Raw genomic sequence first — 20,202 nt, forward strand, 5'->3', positions numbered from 1 at the left:
TGTCTTATTATTTAGTTGTAAGAGTTCTTTATATATTCCGCATAGAAATTCTTTGTCAGACATATGTATTCCAAGTATTTTCTCCCAGGAGCTTGCTCTCTCATTTTCTCAACCATGTCTTTTGAAAAGCAGAAGATTTTAATTCTAATAAGGTACAATTTATAAGTTTCTTATGATTCATGATTTTAGTGTCCTATCTGAAGATCTTTGCATATCCTAAGGTTACACAGATTTTCTTCTATGCTTTCTTCTGGGTGTTTTATAGTTTTATTAGGTCTATGAACCATTTGAAGTTAGTTTTTGCATATAGTGTGGGGTAGGAGTTAAGATTCCCTTTTAAAAAAATATGGACAACTACTTGTTTCAGCATTTGTTGTTGAAAAAAATTACACTTTTTTATTTTTTTACGTTTTAATCTTTCTTTTAAATAGAGACAGGTTGTCACTGTGTTGCCCAGGCTGGTCTCAAACTCCTGGGCTCAAGTGATCCCAGTACTTTATTGGCCCAAGGAACTGGAATTACAGGTGTGAGCCACCATGCCTGGCCAAGACTACACTCTCTTCATTGAACTACCTTGGCAAATTTGTAGGTCTATCAGAGCTCCTTAATCCAATGATCGGTAGATCTATCATTACATCAATACCACACTGTCCTGATAAATGCAACTTACAGTAAGTGTTGATATCACATAGAAATGTCTTTCAACTTGTTTTTATTTTTCATAAGTTTTTTAAAATGTTGCTTTGAAGTGTGTGTGTGTGTGTGTGCATGTGTACACATGCATGTGTGTCTGATTTTGTTTTGTTTTTGCTGTTTTAGTTCTTTTGCTTTTCCATACATATTTTAGAATCAGTTTGTCAATTTCTACAAAAATTCTGCTAGGATTTTGGTTGAAATTGAGTAGACTCTAGAGATTACGTGTGAGTTGACTCTAGAGGTTAATTGACATCTTAACAATATTGAGTCTTCTAATCTATGAGCATGGTATAGATCTCCATTTATTTAAGCTTTCTTTTCATTTAAATGCTAAAACATCAGACAAGGTGCCAAGACAATTAAATGGGAGAAAGAATAGTCTGGGTGCTGGGACAAGTGGATAGGTACATGAAAAACAATGAAGTTGGATTCCTATCTCACACTATATATGTAAATTAATTCAAAATGAATCAAAGACTTAAATATAAGAGCTGGAACTATAAAGTCCTTAGAGTAAAGCATAGAAACAGATCTTCAGGACCTTGGATTAGGCAATAGAGTCTTAGATATGAAACCAAAGCACACACGCAAAAAAGAAATATAGAGAAATTTGGCATCATCAAACTTAAAAACTTTTGTTCTTCAAAGGACACCATCAAGAAAGTAAAAAGACAACCCACAGAGAAGGAAAGACAATGTTTGCAAGTCCTGTCTGTTAAGGGACTTGTGTATAGAATATATAAATAACTCTTGCAACTCAGTAATAAAAAGATAAATAGCCCAGTTAAAAAATGATGAAGGATCTGAATAGACATTTCTCCAAAGAAGATATACTGGCCATATAATGGATCTAATGGCCAATATATAAGCCTATGAGAAGAAGTTCAACATCATAGCTATCAGGAAAACGCAAATTGAAACCAACGTAAGATATCACTTCACACCCCATTAAGGTAGCTGTAATAACTTTTTAAAATGGATAATAAGTTTTGGAGAGGATGTGGAGAGATTAGAACTCTCACACACCGGGTGAAATTGTTAAGTAGTGCAGCCATTTTGGAAAACAGTCTTGCAGTTCCTCAAAAGGTTAAACATAGAATTACCATCAGACTCAGATCAGGAGTTCGAGACCACTCCTGGATATATAACCAAGAGAAATGAAACCTATTTCTACACAAAACTTATACAAGATCATTCATAGCAGTATTATCATAACAGCCAAAAAGTAAAAACAACCCAACTGTCCATCAACTGATGAATGGATAAATAAAATGTAGTCTCAACATAATATGGGATATTATTTAGCAATAGAAAGAAATGAAGCACTAATACATGCTGCAACGTACCTTTAAAACACACTAAGTGAAAGAAGCCAGTCAGAAAAGACCACACATTGTGCAATTCCGTTTTTTGTTTGTTGAGACAGAGTTTCACTCTTGACACCCAGGCTGGAGTGCCGTGGCACAATCTCTGCTCACTGCAAACTCTGCCTCCCAGGCTCAAGCAAGTCTCCTGCCTCAGTCTCCTGAGTAGCAGGGATTACAGGCACGTGCCACCACACCCGGCTAATTTTGTATTTTTACTAGAGACAGGGCTGTACCATATTGGCTAGGCTGGCCTTGAACTCTTGACCTCAAGTGATCCACCCACCTCACCCTCCCAAATTGCTGGAATTATAGGCATGAGCCACTGTGCCCAGCCTGCAATTCTGTTTCTATTAGGGGTGTCCAATCTTTTGGCTTCCCTGGACCACATTGGAAGAAGAATTATCTTGGGCCACTTATAAAATGGACTAACACTAACAATAGCTGATGAGCTAAGAAAAAAAAAAATCTCCTAGTGTTTTAAGAAAGTTTATGAATTTGTGTTGGGCCACATTCAAAGCCATCCTGGGCTGCCTGTGGCCTGCAGGCCGCAGGATGGAAAAGCTTGATTTATATGAAACATCCAAAACAGGCAAATCTAGAGAGACAGAGAATAGATAAGTGGTTTCTGATGGGGAGGAGGAGGGTGGAGAGAGGAATGAGAAATAACTTCTAATGGGCATGGAGTTTTCTTTAGGGGAAATAAAGATGTTTTAAAATTGATTGTGATGATAGTTGAACAATGTGAATATACTGAAATCCAGTGAATTCTACACTTTAAATGGAACACACAACAAAAAATGCTAAAACAAATAGTTGTCCATATTTTTTAAAGGGAATCTTAGCTCCTACCCCACACTATATGCAAAAACTAACTTCAAATGGTTCATAGACCTAATAAAACTATAAAACACTCAGAAGAAAGCATAGAAGAAAACCTGTCTCGTAAGAGAACTGAAACAGGGCTGGGCATGGTGGCTCATGCCTGTAATCCCAGCGCTTTGGGAGGCCAAGGAGGGCAGATCACCAGGTCAGGAGATCGAGACCAGCCTGACCAACATGGATAAACCCCGTCACTATTAATAATACAAAATTAGCCGGGCGTGGTGGTGCATGCCTGTAATCCTAGCTACTCTGGAGGCTGAGGCAAGAGAATTGCTTGAACCTGGGAGGTGGAGGTTGCAGTGAGCTGAGGTCACGCGATCGCACTCCAGCCTGGGCAACAAGAGCAAAAGTTTGCCAAAAATAAAAAAAGGAAAAGAAAGAAAGGAAGGAAGGAAGGAAGGAAGGAAGGAAGGAAAAGGAAGGAAGGAAGGAAGAAAGAGGGAGGGAGGGAGGGAAGGAAGGAAGGAAAAAAGAAAGAAAGAAAAAGAGAAAGAAAGAAAGAAAGAAAGAAAGAAAGAAAGAAAGAAAGAAAGAAAGAAAGAAAGAAAGAAAGAAAAAAAGAAAGGAAGGAAGGAAGAAAAAAAAAAGCCGAAACACTTTTCCACATTTATTGTTTTTGCATTTGCTAACAGGAACATTTACCATGAGTTCAGGGCCAATGTATAGTCAGCAATCTGTGACTCTGAAGCATGACAATTGGTGTCTCTTTCTGTGTGCACACATGGACTTAGTCTCTACTTTACTTGTTTGGATTGGGTTAAGCTGTACACTGATTCAATCCCTTCTCCATAAACTGTGTATACATTCCAAACACAGACCATCTATCACCGTGGGGGTGAAATCTGACCAGAACATCATAAAGTTGTTTGCAGCACTTACTGAGTTTGATCTGGCTAATGACCCAAGGGGCCAGACTAGTTAGATGCTCAGCCAATACTCAACACACTTCTGTTATTTGCCTACCATTGTAACAACTTTTGCTACCTGTAGTACTGTTGTTTACTTAAACATTTTTCTTTAAATCAATTCCCCTTTTTTTACTTAAGCACGTTTATGAACATAAAGCAAAAGTCAGTATCTCTTGCCATAAGTAGAAGGTGGCTCTTAAAAGTAAGCCCAGTGAAAACAGAATGTTACCCATTCTAACTAGATACTGTTGCCTGAGCCTGAGGCCTCATTGTTAAACCCGGAGATTAGAAGGGTTGGAGAGGTGTTAAGGAGCTGTTGGTACCAAGCTGAGACTTTCTCCTTGACTAAATCAGAATAATTACATGAGAATAGAAAAGGGTAGACATTCTAGAGGCCCTTTATATCTTCTACAACTACCTATTGGAACCTAATGTGATGTTCACCTATGTGGCTTTGGGGTGCTAGACTATATAAGGCAGACGAAGCCTTGGTTCTTCCCATATGCTTGAGTCATGGCAAACATTTAATACTTTGATGTTGCTCTTGTAGTTGCTATTATAATAACTGTTATTACTTTATTATTTCAGAGCAGGGAATAGACCTTCTGGGGAAAGTTGGGAGTGGGGTTACTCTATGAACATCCTCTTACAGCCATGATGGCTTGGGCAGGCACATAGAGTTTAATTCCTATCAGAGAATGGAGTTGGAGGTGGGGTGCAGTGGCTCACACCTGTAGTCCAAGCACTTTGGGAAGCCAATGCGGGTGGATCGCTTGATCCCAGGAGTTCGAGACAAGCCTGGGCAACATGGCAAAACCTTATCTCTACTGAAAATACAAAAATTAGCTGGGCATGGTGGCATGCGCCTGTAGTCCCAGCTACTCAAGTGGCTAAGGTGGGAGGATCACCTGAGCCCGGGAGGTGGAGGTTGCAGTGAGTCAAGATCGTGCCACTGCACCCCAGCCTGGGCAACAGAGCGAGAGCCTGTCGAGAGAGAGGAGAGAGAAAGAGAGAGAGAGAGAGAGAGAGAACAGAGTTGGAGAAGAAAGCACTTCATGCTTTGGCCAAGACTCCTTCTGGGGAAGGAAGGTGAGAAATGTTACTGTGTCAGATAATTGGATCAGGAGTGAATATGCTTGGGCAGGTTTAACATCTCTGTTTAGACGTGAAGGTCTGACCTTATACATCTGGATATTCTGTGGGGTGTCAGGCACTGTGCTGGGCTTTGTCAGGGATACAGAGCTGCTGCCCTCAAGGGGCTTGCGATCTCCCGGGAGAAGCCACAGGCACAAGAAACTAGAACACAGGATAAAACAAGGGTCAATTTATTTTACTATTAAGCTTCTTATGGGTGCAAATGGCAGGCATCCAATTTGGATATGCATAAATAAGAAAGAAAATGTATTGTTTCCATATCTGATGAGGCCAGGAATGAATGGCTTCAGGCATGGCTGGATCCAGGTGTTCAAATGGCAAAGTCAGAAATTTCTCTCCATCTCGTGCCTCTTCTTTCCTCTGTATTGGCTTTATTCTCAGGAAGACTTCCCGTTTGGGCTGCCAAATACCACCAGCTTAGTAGGCTTAGTTAAAAGTGAGGTCTCTCCTTCAGTTATTCCAATATAAACGAATAGAATTGAGTCCTAATGTTCCACTTTGAGTCACATGCACATCTCCCAGAGCTAAGAGGAGAGATCAGCCTGGCAACTCACACCAACTGAGATGAAAGGGACAGCGGGATATCTTCACCTGAAACCTCAGTGCAAGGGGGAGAGTATGCTGGGCACAGAGGAACCACACTGCCCAGCATGGTGCCCCCAGAAGGGAAAGGCTCTCAGAGGGGGTGAGGGTCCAGCCTGAAGTCAGGAGAGCTTCATGGAGGAAGTGGCCTTTGGTCTGGACCTTAAAGATCAAATACAACTGGAGCTCCAGGAATAGAGCTGGGATGCTCCTGCCGCAGGTTCCTGCTCTGTGTCCAGAGAGAAGGGAGGGGGAAGCAGGAATGTCCTTAGAAACCCTCATGTGCCATAACAAGTACCTGGTGGTCTTCACAAGAACCTGCCCTCTCATGCATATGGGAAACAGAGTCTCAGAAAACTCTGGCATTCCTCATCCATGACCCATACTCTCCAACCTCATGCTCCGGACACAACCTCACCCCATTCTAATTTGTATCCATGGAACACCCTTTTTTCCTTTTCTTTTTTTTTTTTTTTTTTTTTTTTTTTTTGAGACGGAGTCTCACTCTGTCGTCCAGGCTGGAGTGCAGTGGGGCGATCTCAGCTCAGTGCAATCTCGGCTCACTGCAACCTCCACCTCCCAGGCTAAAGCAGTTCTCCTGCCTCAGCCTCCCAGGTAGCTGGGATTACAAGGGCCCGCCACCAGCTAATTTTTGTATTTTTAGTAGAGACAGGGTTTCACTATGTTGGCCAGGCTAGTCTCAAACTCCTGACCTCAGGTGATCCTCCTGCCTCAGCCTCCCAAAGTGCTGGGATTACAGGCATGAGCCACCGCACCTGGCTGGAATGCCCTTTTCAAATCCCAGCTTTGATGGCATCACACCCTCATGCCTCCAAAGGTTCCAGTTCTCTTGGGATTGAAACCCTAATCTTTAACACAGTCCACAAGCCCTTGCGTGGCCTGGCCCTGCTCACCCTTGCAGGCTCCCTCCCCACCCCTGCAGGCTCCCTCCCCACCCCTGCAGGCTCCCTCCCCACTTCAGCCTTCCCCCTTCCCCTCCCCTCTCCTATCCTTTAACCTCAGCTCCTCCATCACTTCTCCAAGGACTCTCAGACCTGGCCAGGCCTCCGTTTTCTAATAAAAATCGCTGACACTTAGGTGCCAGGCATGAATCTACCCTCTCCATATTTTCATGCAGCCAGCCTCCACGACAGCTTTATCAGGTGGAAGCTGTAATTATCCCCATTTTATGGATGAGGAAACTGAAGGACTGAGAAGGAGATTTGCTCAAAGTCACAAGCTAGGAAGCAGCAGGGCTGAGAGTCAAAGCCAGAAATTTCCCAGGAGTTCGAGGCTGCAGTGAGCCATGATCATGCCACTGCACTCCAGCCTGGGTGATAGAGTGAGACCCTGTCTCAAACAAACAAACAAAAAGCCAGAAAATTTGGTTACAGAATCCTTATTCTAAACCACCAGCCTTTAATGCCTCTAGCATCTCAGGGCATGGGGTCCCAATCTTTCCTGTCATGTTTCATAGCTCTGCTTTTTTGATGGATTCTTCGCTTAACATCTGTCTTACCCACCGACAGCTAGTGACAATGGAAACTGGCATACTGAGGACCTGGCCTGTGCTAGGCTCAGTCCATAGCACTTTTTGTGCATCGCCGAATTTCCTCCTCTCAGCAATCCTGTAAGTTAGATGTAATTGTTACAGTAAGTCTTCACTTAACATTGTTGATATGTTCTTGGAAACTGCAACTCTAGGCTAAACGATGTCTAATGAAATCAATTTCACCATAGGCTAATTGATATCAACAAGAGTTAAGCTCCTATGGCCTATTTCTGGTCACAAAAAAAGTCACCAAATTTCTAAGTAAAGACCAAAATGCTTCTAATATTAAACATTGAAATAAATATGAGCTATACATACATTTAAGAAAGATTAAGACCAGGTGCGGTGGTTCATGCCTGTAATGCCAGCACTTTGGGATGCTGAGGTGGGTGGATCACTTGAGCTCAGGAGTTTGAGACCAGCCTGGGCAACACGGTGAAACCCCGTCTCCACTAAAAATACAAAAATTCACTGATATGGTGGTGTGCATGCCTATAATCCCAGCTACTTAGGAGGCTGAGGTGGGAGGATCTCTTGAGCCTGGGAGGTAGAGATTGCAGTGAGCCATGACTGCGCCACTGCGCTCTAGGCTGGGTAAGAGAGTGAGACCCTATCTGAAAAAAGAAAAAGAAAAAGAAAGATTAATAAAAACAAGTAAGATCATTATTTACCCACTTATTCAGTTCAAGGTCACAGTGGCCAGAGCCTATCTCTGCAGCTGAGGCCACAGGCGGGAACCCACCCTACACAGGACACATTCCATTGCAGAGCACTCACACACAGTCACACTCACTCACCTGGGACCATGCAGACACATCATGGGGAGGACATGTAAACTCCATATAGACAGTGGCCCTGGCTGGGAATCTACTTTCTTTTCTCATCAATGTTACAATGAAACATTGAACAAAACGACGTCGTTTGAGGACTTGCTATACCACATTTTATGCACAGAGAACCTGAGTTGAGAGTTTAAGTCACTTGTTCACTAGGTTATGAATTCCCAAAGGGCAAAAAACCTTGTCCATTTTGCTCATTGAGTCCAGAAGGACCATTTGAGTGCCTGGCATATAGTAGGCATTCAATAAATGCATTTTGGTTGATTAGATGGATGGATGGATTGATGACAGATAGCCAAAGGAAGGAAGAAAAGAAGGAAAAAAGGGAGGGAGGGAGGGGGGAGGGTAAAGAGGGAGGAAGAACGGGGACGTACCGCCGCCCAGTTCCTGGACGTGACTGGGACATCCTCGCAGGCAAGGCTGGTGTCCCAGCTGATGTGCGTCCCCATGCCTCTCTGCAGGTGCCACTATGCACGTGAAGAAGTACCTGCTGAAGGGCCTGCATCGGCTGCAGAAGGGCCCCGGCTACACGTACAAGGAGCTGCTGGTGTGGTACTGCGACAACACCAACACCCACGGCCCCAAGCGCATCATCTGTGAGGGGCCCAAGAAGAAAGCCATGTGGTTCCTGCTCACCCTGCTCTTCGCCGCCCTCGTCTGCTGGCAGTGGGGCATCTTCATCAGGACCTACTTGAGCTGGGAGGTCAGCGTCTCCCTCTCCGTAGGCTTCAAGACCATGGACTTCCCTGCCGTCACCATCTGCAATGCTAGCCCCTTCAAGTAGGTGGCCCCGGAGTGCACAGCTGGCCTCAGCAGACAGGCGGTTCTCTTTCTCTCTTTTCTTCCCTTCTACCTTTCCTTTCCTTCCTTTCCTTCCTTCTCCTTTCTCTCCTTCTCTTTATTTCTCCCCTTTCTTCCTTCCTTTCTCCCTTTATTACTTTTCCTTCCTTCTTCTTCCCTTTCTTTTTTCTTTTCTTTCTTTCCTTCCTTCTTTCTCTTTCTCCTCCTCTCTGTCTTTCCATTTGCCTTCATCCTTTTGCAGCAACTAAGATTCAAACTTCATAAACTTTTGGCCAGGTGCAGTGGCCTGTAATAACAGCACTTTGAGAGGCAAAGACAGAAGGATCCCTTGAGGCCAGGAGTTGGAGAACAGCCTGGGCAACATAGCAAGATCCCACTTCTAAAAAAAGTAAATAATTTTTTTTAATTAGCCAGACGTGGTGGCACATGTCTGTGGTCTGAGCTGCATAGGAAGCAGAGGTGGGAGAACTGCTTGAGCCCAGGAGCTCGAGGCTGCAGTGGGCTGAGATGGCGCCACTTGAGTTTCAAGTCAAGGCTAAGAAAAAATAATTAATTAAAAATAAAAACAAGAAGATGCCACTGCATTCCAGCCTGGGTAACAGATGCTATCTCTTAAAAATAAAAAAATCATAAGTTTCCTAGGCTTAGAGAGAACCTTGGGCACCCTCTGTCTTCAGGCAGGCCAGTGCCTATTTATCGATTCCACGCGTGTTTACGGAGCACCTACTATGTGCCAGGCACTGTCCTAGGCAACACAAATACAACAGTTAACAAAACAGAGTCCCTGTCCTCTTCACAGCCTGCCAGAGCAAACATGCCCCACAAAGTTGTCCCCACAAATATCGAATTCATCATCATTATGATGATAAAAAATAAAACAACTCAGCCGGGCACCATGGCTCATACCTGTAATCCCAGCATTTTGAGAGGCTGAGGTGGGCAGATTACTCGAGGTCAGGAGTTTGAGACCAGTCTGGCCAACATGGTGAAACCTCAACTCTACTAAAAATACAGGCAATGCCTGTAATCTCAGCTACTTAGGAGGCTGAGGCACGAGAATTGCTTGACCCCGAGAGGCAGAGGTTATAGTGAGCTGAGATTGCATCACTGCACTCCAGCCTGGGCAACAGAACAAGATCCTGTCTCAAAAATTAAAAAATAAATAAATAAAACCACTCTTCAACAAATGCTTATGATATGCTAGGCACTGTGTTCAGTGTTCTTTGGATAATTGGTGTCATTCTAATCCACACAACCACCCTAGGATTGGGAACTCCTGTCGCAGCCCCAGTTTACAGGTGAGGAGATGGAGGTTCAGAGAAGTAAGTGAGCTTGCCTGGAGATGCACAGTGGAAGACTGTGGGATTTGAATCTAGGCCTGATGTGATCCCAGAACTGCTACTTTTTAACCATTCTTCCGGATTGCCCGTTCTCCATTCTCCGCTTGATAGCAAGACCTGTGAAGGGGACACAAGAGGAGACCCAACCTAGTCAGGGTTATGGAGAGACAGGGAGTCAGTCCAAAAACAAAAAATAAAAAAAAGTGCCCTAAGGAATGAGTAGAAGTTGGCCAGATATGGTGAAGAGAGTGCCCCCAGTCTTGGATACAGCAGGTGCAGCTGGTGAGATGCTTGGTGCATTCAAGGAACTGAAAGAAGGGCTGAGTCACAGAAAACATTTTTATCCAAAAGAGAGTCCTGACCGGGCACAGTGGCTCACGCCTGTAATCTCAGCATTTTGAGAGGCCAAAGCGAGTGGATTACTTGAGGTCAGGAGTTCGAGACCAGCCTGCCCAACATGGTGAAACCCCATCTCTACTAAAAATACAAAAATTAGCCGGGTGTGCTGGCACATGCCTGTAAACCCAGCTACTCAGGAGGCTGAGGCAGGAAAATCACTTGAACTCAGGAGGTGGAGGTTGCAGTGAGCCGAGATCTCGCCACTGCACTCCAGCCTGGGTGACAGAGCAAGACCTTGTCTCAATTAAAAAAAAGAAAAGAAAGAAAGCAAAAGAAAGTCCTGACTGGGCACGGGCACAGTGGCTCAGGCTTGAAATCAGAGCATGTTGGGAGGCCGAGGCTTAAGGATCACTTGAAGCCAGGAGTTCAAGGTCAGCATGGCCAACATGGTGAGACAGCATCTCTGTTTTTAAAAGTCCTAGAAGGGAATTCTCACATAGTGATTACTTTCCCAATTATCAGAAAGTCCCTTCTTTCTATTAATAGGGTTCTTCCTGCCTTGGTGGGTTCTTAGAGCTGCTCAAGAGAATCTTTAATAATAATAGGAACGACAGCACTCCTTCTGGGCACTGATCCATGCATTTTATAAGCAGCACCTCATTGAATCTTCCCAACGATTCTCTGGGTTACTTATTTTTATCCCCCTGTTTTGTAGATGAGAGAACAGAGCCTCAGGGAGGTTAAGTTGCCCAAGATATTAAGTGGCATGCCAGGATTCAAACCTGGAGCCCATACAGTGACCCATCAAGCTTCCCAGAAGCTGTGAACATCTAGGCTGTAATAACACCACCACCTGCACAGACGCCACCCTTCCCCATCCTCCTGTTCCTGTGTACACAGATTTAATGGTCAGGGAACTGGCATCGAAGGCCAACGTTAGCTCTGGCTGCTGTACACCTTTGTACCAGGACCTTGGCCTCTGTCCAGCATTTAATGCTCCTGCAGGAAGTTCTCCAGCCAGAGTTGGCATTTGTGGCCTCAATTACCCCACTTTGAGGCAGGGTCTTGGGTAAATTGGACATGAAGTGACTGGGGTGCAGGGCCCGGCCCCGCAGAGATACTTCTTGATAGATCCATCTCTCACTGGCCACCATGTCCAACATGGGAGCGCCACAGGGCTGAGGGAAGACATTGGAGCCAGCCTCACAGTCCCATTCATTTTCTCTCTCTTGAAACTGGCTCCTGTTCCCAAAGTTGCTCCCCCCTGGGAGGGAGATCTCAGAACCCCCATAAACATACCCACTGGAGCCCACCAAACCCAGATTCTAAACTCACCTCTGCCCTTTATCAGTGGAGTGAGCTTGCAAAATCACACCAACTCCTGGAGCCTCAGTTTCCTGAGCTATATATGGGGACGGTAACAGACTTGTGGCAAACAAGACCTGGAAAGCACCTAGCACCTGGCACATGGTAAGCTATCAATAACCATGAGCCATTACAATTCTTCCTCACTCGAATGTGAATTTCATAAGGAAAGAGACCAGGTCCCTCTTGTTTGCTACTGTATCGTCTGTGCCTTGCACAGTGCCTGGCACATAGTAGGTGCTCATTAAAAGTTGGTGAATGAATGAGTGCATGGGTGGTGGAAAGATGGATGCATGGGTGGGTGGACGGAGAGGTGGGTGCTTAGGTGGGGTGTTCTTCTTATACATAGTGGCAGCCATGCTGGAGTAGCAGTGTGATATGGTTGGCTCAGTGTCACCACCCAAATATCATATTGAATTGTAACCCCCATGTGTCGAGGGAGGGACCTGGTGTGGGTGATTAGATCATACGGGCGGCTTTCCGCATGCTGTGTTCGTGATAGTGAGTGAGTTCTCACAAGATCTGATGGTTTTAAAGTGGCAGTCTCCCCTGTGCACTCTCTTTCTCTCTCTCTCCTGCTGCCATGTAAGACATGCCTTGCTTCCCCCTTCACCTTCCGCCATGATTGTAAGTTTCCTGAGACCTCTCTCCAGCCATGTAGAACTGTGAGTCAATTATACCTCTTCTGTTTATAAATTACCCAGTCTCAGGTAGTATCTTTATAGCAGTGTGAAAACAGACTACTATGGAGTGGGTCCCAGATTTCATTTGCTCTGCTTTACAGATATGCATTCCTTCCCCCTAACCAGCCCTCTCCCCATCCAGGTATTCCAAAATCAAGCATTTGCTGAAGGACCTGGATGAGCTGATGGAAGCTGTCCTGGAGAGAATCCTGGCTCCTGAGCTAAGCCATGCCAATGCCACCAGGAACCTGAACTTCTCCATCTGGAACCACACACCCCTGGTCCTTATTGATGAACGGAACCCCCACCACCCCATGGTCCTTGATCTCTTTGGAGACAACCACAATGGCTTAACAAGCAGCTCAGCATCAGAAAAGATCTGTAATGCCCACGGGTGCAAAATGGCCATGAGACTAGTAAGTGGTCCCTGGGCACATATCAAGCAATGGGCCCCACCCAGTGAGGCTGATGGGTGTTTCTTTTCTGTAGTAATTTGAGTCTCGCTGGGGGAAAGACAAGATGGAAGCCAGAGCCTGTTTTGCTTGTTTGCAGAGATTTTTTAAAAATAGAAATTTTTGGCATGTTAGTCAAGACTCCTTTGGTATAAGTGATCCAGCTCACACTAGCTTAAGCAAAACAGGCGATTCATTGGCTCACATGACTAAGAAATCCAGAGGTATACTGCATTCAGGCAAGGCTGGATCCAGGTATTCTAATGAGGTCATCAGGAATCTTTCTCCGTCTTGGTTCAACTTTTCTCTCAGGCGACTTCACTCTCAGGCAAGATCTCTCCATGTGGAGGGATCCCCTCAGTGCCCTTGCTTAGCAGTGGTCCCAGAAAAAGAGCTCTTTCCCTATAGTCCCAGCAAAGGTCCTAAGAAGACTCATTAGATCACATGCTCACCCCTAAACCAATCACTGTGGGCTACAGCAGGGGCTCTCATGATTGGCCAGTCCTGGGCCATGTGCCCTGGAGTTGGGAGTGATGTCAGCCTCTGTGAGACCACATGGACTGAGCAAGGGGGAAGGTGGTTCCCTGAGGGAGGAACTAAGTCTTGTTATCAAAAGATAGGGGCATAAATATTGGGCAGGTGAAAAGCCACAGCTGTGCAGTACAGTCACATGCCAAGAAACAACTGCCCTGCACTGGGAGGCTGGTATGCCATTAGTTCTTAAGCCTAGAAGTGGGGAGAAGGTCCCCTGCCCGTGTCTCAGGATCTCCTGGGAGCTCTGTCACAATACACATCCCTAGGCCCCACTCCTGGAGAATCTGAGTGAGCAGTTCTGGGCCCAGGCCCAGGAATCTGTATTGACAACAGGCTCCCTGGTGATTCTGATAATCAATCTTGGATGGGGATCCAGGAGGGGACCATACACTCCCCAGATGGGGAGCCACTGCCTTGCTGCTCACACTCATGGCGTTATGACTTCCACAACTGCTTTATCCCCACCTCTCCACACAAACTAGCCGACGTCATATGGGGGATCTGCTGTGGTCACACCTTCCTTAACCTCCTGGGCCTCAATTTCCTCATGATGATGGGGATAACAATGATACTTACCTCCTAGCTTTGCTGTGAAGCTTCAATGGGATTATAGATGTAAGACACTGGGAACAAAGCCCGGAACAGGGTAAGGATTAAGGGCTGCCATTACTTCCCCAAGGGGAGGCAGGGAGGCCCCCAGGAGTGGGCTGGCCGGGCGTGTTGGGAAGGGTGGTGTAAGAATGCCAGGGGAAGCTTCTCTATCCGGCTTCCCGGGTTCCAGCAGGGAGAACCAGCAGCAGCCTCGTGGCCAAGGCCAGAGTCCCAGGGCCAAGTCTGTCACGTGTCTGTGCGATGACTTGGATGTCATGAGAAGCCGGATGTGACCAGATGGAAGGGTGCTCTGCACCCTGTGGTGGGCTCAGTGTGACTGGGTCTGTGTCTTTCCCAGGACAGATAAGAGGCAGCATTTCCTGTGTGTTGAGTTTCTTCTTGGTCTTCATGGCCTCCAGGGGAGCTGCATCTGGAAGTCTCTGGCAGAGGCTGGAAAAGGAATCAGAACTGTGTGTGTGCGTGCGTGTGTGTGTGAGCATAAGTGTTGCGGCCACTTGTGTGAATCTATGTATATGGGGTTCGGGGCTAGGATGGATGTGTGTTACAATGACATGAGGCTGTGGAGGTCAGAGAGAGGGCATCTTCTGTGCATGCCTCTGCACACATGACCGTGTGTGTGTTTTTGCCCATGCATAATGGTACAAGTAGGGGTGAGGCTGGTGGCTGTAAACTGAGCCACTGAGTCACCCTCCCTTGAACGAGGGGACCAGCCTCTGTGCATGCCCATGAGTTGGTCACTGGCTGTGGGTCACTTCCAAGAGGTTGCTGAGGGGTCTCCTAACCTCCCAGGCCTCACCCTCAGCAGCTGGGGGTGGGTGCACCAGCCTGATGAGGGGATCTTGTGGTCAGCACACAGCTGTGTATGAGGCAGTAGCCCTTGAGCATGTGTGAGCATGAGTGTGAACGTTTCCCACCACCAAGTTGCAGCCAGAAAGGTGGCTGGCAAAGCACAGCTCTTGCCCTGCTAGGGCCCTCGAGCAGTGGCTGGGGTCCTGCTAGCAGCTCCCACGCCACCCACAAAAACCCCTCTTGGCCTCCACAGTGTAGCCTCAACAGGACCCAGTGTACCTTCCGGAACTTCACCAGTGCTACCCAGGCATTGACAGAGTGGTACATCCTGCAGGCCACCAACATCTTTGCACAGGTGCCACAGCAGGAGCTAGTAGAGATGAGCTACCCCGGCGAGCAGATGATCCTGGCCTGCCTATTCGGAGCTGAGCCCTGCAACTACCGGTGAGAGCCACCCCAAGCCCACCCGGCCAGGCCCTGGCACCGAGAGACAGTGGCATGTTACGGTTGGGAGCACAGCCTGCCAGGGTTCCAATCCTGCCCAGCCACTTACCGGCTATCTGCAGCACAGTTTTCTGTGCCTCGGTGTCTTTTAGGTCCTGTTTCCTGGAGGCAGAGCCTGAGGCAGGGATGTATTGAAGAGCTCGCGAAGCATTGAGAGAACTGTGTTAGGAAAAGTCTGCAGGGAAAGTGGGATAAGGAAGGAGGATTTGGAACATGTAGGAAAAGGAGAAAATAGAAAAAGAAAAAGGAAAGGCTGGGCGTGGTGGGTGGGTGGCTTACCCCTGTAGTCCCAGCACTTTGTGAGGTGGAGACGGGAGGATCGCTTGAGACCAGGAGTTCAAGACCAGCCTGGGTAATATAGTGAGACTCCAGCTCTAGAAAATAGTAAAATAAATTAAATTTTAAAAGGAAGGAGGAAAAAGTTAAACAAGGATGTGGTCTTAGGTAAAGTCTAGGCTCAGCTTGATCTGTGGGAGGATCTGGAGCATAAACTGAACCAGAGTGGTCCTCCCTTGAAGGAGGGGACCAGCCTTTCTGCGTGCCCCGTGAGCTGGTCACTGGCTGTGGGTCATTCCCAACAGGTTGATGAGGTGTCTCCTAACCTCCCAGACCTCACTTCTAGCAGCTGGGGGTGGGTGCACCAGCCCGATGAGGGGATCAGGGTGGGCACCCAGGCATCTGTTGCCTCGGTTTTCTCATCTCTGAAGCAAGAACAATAATCGTAGCTTCTTCATAGGGTCATTGAGAAGAGTAAATGAGTAAGTTCATGGCAGCACCTAGAACAAGGCTATGAGGCTGGGCGTGGTGGCTCATGCCTGGAATCCCAGCACTTTGGGAGGCTAAGGCAGGAGGATCGCTTGAGGCCAGGAGTTCAAGACCAGCCTGAGCAACATAGCGAGACCTCATCTCTACAAAAAATCAAAAACCAGCCAGATATAGTCATGCTCACCTGTAATCCCAACTACTCAGGAGGCTGAGGAGGGAGGATCACTTGAGTCCAGGAGGTCGAAGCTACAGTGAGCCATGATCACGTCACTGCACTCCAGTCTGGGTGACAGAATGAGACCCTGTCTCTTAAAAAAAAAAAACAAAAAACAAAAAAACACGAGGTTATAAAAGTGTTTCCTGTAAATATTCTTTTTCCCTAACAACCTTTAATATGAGAGACTGGCAGAATGAGGGTAATGGTAACCCTGGAGGTCTAGGTCTTCTTGCAATTGACCCACAGATTCCCACCTCCTTGGCCTCCCAGCTCCTGGCAAACCAACCCTGGGCCTAAGCATCAGGTGTTGTCCCAGTCTCTAGGACAACCAGAAACGGGGGGAATCTCCATTCTATCCCCTCCTAACAGCCTCCAGAGAGCTCAGCTGGCAGAAGCACGTGGGAAGGAGGCCTGAGGATGGGCAGGAACACTGCTGAGGCCTCAGAGCCCCTTGTCGGCCTCCTGACCCAGCCTCCAGGTGTGGGGTATGCCACACCCACCTCGGCCCCACCCCAGGTTTCAGCCAGTCCTGTTTCTGAGATTCGATGGTATCCTCCTTGATCTGGGGCCTCCAATGCTCACACTTCAGGCCTCTGTGGAAAGGAGCTTTTAGCTGAATCTTAATGCTATGGGCACGTGACAGGCTTCCAAGCTCACCTCCGAGGGACTGGGGTTGCAGGCAGCTCTCTGAACTCAGAACCTTCCAGAACCTCTAATGAGAATTCTTCAGAAAGCTCTGGGGCCTCTGTCCCCTCAAAATGCACAGGTGCAACCGGACATGTGGCTCACGCCTGTAAGCCCAACACTTTGGGAGGCCAAGGCGGGTGGATCACCTGAGGTCAGGAGTTCGAGACTAGCCTGGCCAACATGGCGAAACCTTGTCTCTACTAAAAATACAAAAATTAACCGGGAGTGGTGGTGCACATCTATAATCCCAGCTACTTGGGAGGCTGAGGAAGGAGAATCGCTTGAACCCCAGGGGCGGAGGTTGTAGTGAGCAGAGATCGCGCCACTACACTTCAGCCTGGGCAGCAGAGTGAGACTCTGTATTAAAAAGGAAAAAACAAATGCACAGGCACACATGGGCAGGGTTCTTGCACACAATGTCAAATAATTCAAGGCCACTAAGCAGGACAGAGCAGCACATATGTCCCATTGTACAGATTAGCAAAAGGTGGTTCCCATAGGTGGAAGATTTGACTGATGGCGCCCTGCTGATGGGATACCCTCTTCCTTGAGGGCCACCCCATGGCTAGCTGGTCACAGTCTGTGTTTCAGCCTCACTGTCTTGGCCAGGGTCCTTTGCTCAGGGCACACCCGCCAACCACACCTGCCATAAGGCTAGGGATACCAAACAGACTACTGTAATGTCCACAAGCACATTCATCTCACCCGCTCAGCTGAAAGAGAGCTGTAACACTGCAACTTCAAGTGCATGGCCCATCTGCTCAGTGAGAACACGCCCAGGAGCGAGAGTGGGGCAGGAAAGTGAACCTGCTGTCAACTCCCTACCCATCCAACGGGATCCCAGTGTTCAAGGGCCTGTGTTCCACTCACAGCCCAGCCCCGAAAGCTGTGCCGGCCACCTCATGGGTAGCTGGGCTGGGCTGGGTATAGCTGGCCTGTTGTCAACATAGCACCCTCCAAAAGGAGCCCCATTTGAGTCATATGGGCTGAGGGTGAGGGACGGGTGGTCCCCCAAGGGAAGCTAAAGAACTGTTAGCAGAAACAGGGAAAATAGCTGGCTGATGGGCCACTAAAACCCCCAAATATTGGCCACATAACTTCTGCCATGTGCGAGGGGTAGGGGGTAAGTGTAATGAAAGGGTCAAGGCTTGGGGTCTGGGGTTAGACCACCTAGACTCAAATCCTGGCTCCATCTTACAAGCTGTGTGACCTTGAACAAGTTTCTTAGCCTTGCTGTGCCTCAGTTTCCCTCCTCTGTAAAATAGGGGAGAGAACAATACCTACCCTACATGGTTACTTTGAATATTAAGTGAATTAATATGCATGAGTAACTGACCCTACTACTGGGCTTAATAAATAATAGTTATAACTATTACTTTTATAATAGTTTTATAACCCACATTTTAGGCTGGGCTCAGTGGCTCATGCCTATAATCCCAGCACTTTGGGAGGCCGAAGCTGGCAGATCGCTTGAGACCAGGGGTTCGAGACCAGCCTGGACAACAAGGCAAAACCCCATCTCTACTAAATATACAAAAATTAGCCAGGTGTGGTGGCGCATGCCTGTAATCCCGGCTACTCAGGTGACCGAGGCACGAGAATCACTTGAACCCGGAAGGCAGAGGTTGCAGTGAGCCGAGGTTGTGCCACTGCACTCCCGCCTGGGCGACAGGGGGAGACTCTCTTAAAAAACAGCAACAAAAACAAAAACCCCAATTTGACAAGGAATGCAAATTCAATAATTATGCCAACATTTACTGGGCCTTTCTCGTCCCTGTAGGTGTCAGGCACTATTCTAAGCACTTTGTGTGTTAAAATTGCTTTCACTCTGGCAACAAAGTCATGAGAAAGGAGCTGTTATTTTCCCCTTATTTTATTTTTTTAAGAGACAGGGTATCACTCTGTTGCCCAGGCTGGTCTCAAACTCCTGGCCTCGAGTGATCCTCCCACCTCAGCCTCCCAAAGTGCTGGAATTACAGGCATGAGCCACCGCGCCCAGCCTTCCCCATCATTTTATAGTTGCTGTAACCTGCCCAGAGAGGTTAAGTAACATCTCTGAAGTCACACAGTTGGTGAGTGGCAGAGCTAGCAGTCTGGGCCAGGCCCACCCCGCATCACTCTATTGCCTCATCAGAAAGGGTGATCGTCATCTTCCCTCCCTACCCACCTCTCCCAAGCCTATTTCCCCAGCCCTCGGCAGGTCCCAGTGAAAGGTACCATCCAGGCACCTTAGCATAGAGATCTCAGCCAACTGCTCTCTGAGCTCTTCCTCACTCCCACAGTTGACTGGTCATCTGCCTTCCTGAGTCAGCCTTGGACACAGCTGTGGGAATGTGCCTCTCTGCTCTCCCGGTGCTGGGCCACAGACACTGTGGCCCCTGCTTCCTCCCTCTCTCTCTGACTCCATCCTGTCCCCCTCCTAACATGACAAACACTCTAGAAGCAGCAGCTGCAGAATTAGGAAAATGTGAGCCGCATGTGGACCCCAACACCAAACTGCCTGGACTTGAATGTCAGCTCAGTATGTGACTGGGCATGCTACTTAGCCTTTCTGTGCCTCAGTTTCCTCACCTGGAAAGTGGGGACAGTGAAATAACCACATAGCATTATTGGGGGATTAAATGAGAACATATGCAAAGTACCTGGTGCAATGCCTGGCACATAGTAAACATTATAGGAGCATTTTTTTAAAAAGGCTTTTGGGCCGGGCATGGTGGCTCACGCCTATAATCCCAGCACTTTGGGAAGCCGAGGCAGGCAGATCACCTGAGGTCAGGAGTTTGAGACCAGCCTGGCAAACATAGTGAAACCCCATCTCTACTAAAAATACAAAAATTAGCTGGGTGCAGTGGCTCACGCCTATAATCCCAGCTACTCGGGAGGCTGAGGTAGGAGGCTGAACCCAGGAGGCAGAGGTTGCAGTGAGCTGAGATCATGCCACTGCACTCCAGCCTGGGAGAGAGAGCGAGACTCCATCTCAAAAAAATAAATAAATAAATAAATAAATAAACAAATAAATAAATAAATAAAAAGGCTTTTGGCCAGGTGCAGTGGCTCACTTAATCCCAGCACTTTGGGAGGCCAAGGAGGGAGAATCGCTTGAGGCCAGGAGTTTAAGACCAACCTGAGCAAC

At 47.3% G+C, this 20,202-nt stretch overlaps 1 protein-coding gene across 5 annotated transcripts in view, besides 1 other annotated feature; it reads left to right on the forward strand.

Annotated features, from left to right (window-relative positions):
• Positions 1-20,202, forward strand: part of SCNN1B (sodium channel epithelial 1 subunit beta) — a 103,064-nt gene that overhangs the window by 61,919 nt on the left and 20,943 nt on the right. For all 5 annotated transcript variants that reach the window (XM_017023525.2, XM_011545913.3, NM_000336.3 and 2 more), the window contains 3 exons: positions 8,443-8,761; positions 12,652-12,925; positions 15,150-15,340. In XM_017023525.2, coding sequence (XP_016879014.1) covers positions 8,443-8,761; positions 12,652-12,925; positions 15,150-15,340 — 784 coding nt within the window. The remainder of the gene's footprint in view (positions 1-8,442; positions 8,762-12,651; positions 12,926-15,149; positions 15,341-20,202) is intronic.
• Positions 8,071-8,572: an enhancer, noted in NCBI's record as "H3K4me1 hESC enhancer chr16:23359541-23360042 (GRCh37/hg19 assembly coordinates)". NCBI's record gives its function as "activates a minimal SCP1, AML or CMV promoter by ChIP-STARR-seq in naive H9 embryonic stem cells {active_cell/tissue: H9 hESC(naive)}" and the evidence as "EXISTENCE:reporter gene assay evidence [ECO:0000049][PMID:30033119]".

The sequence above is a fragment of the Homo sapiens genome, chromosome 16 (genome assembly GCF_000001405.40).
Source record: "Homo sapiens chromosome 16, GRCh38.p14 Primary Assembly".
NCBI lineage: Eukaryota > Metazoa > Chordata > Mammalia > Primates > Hominidae > Homo > Homo sapiens.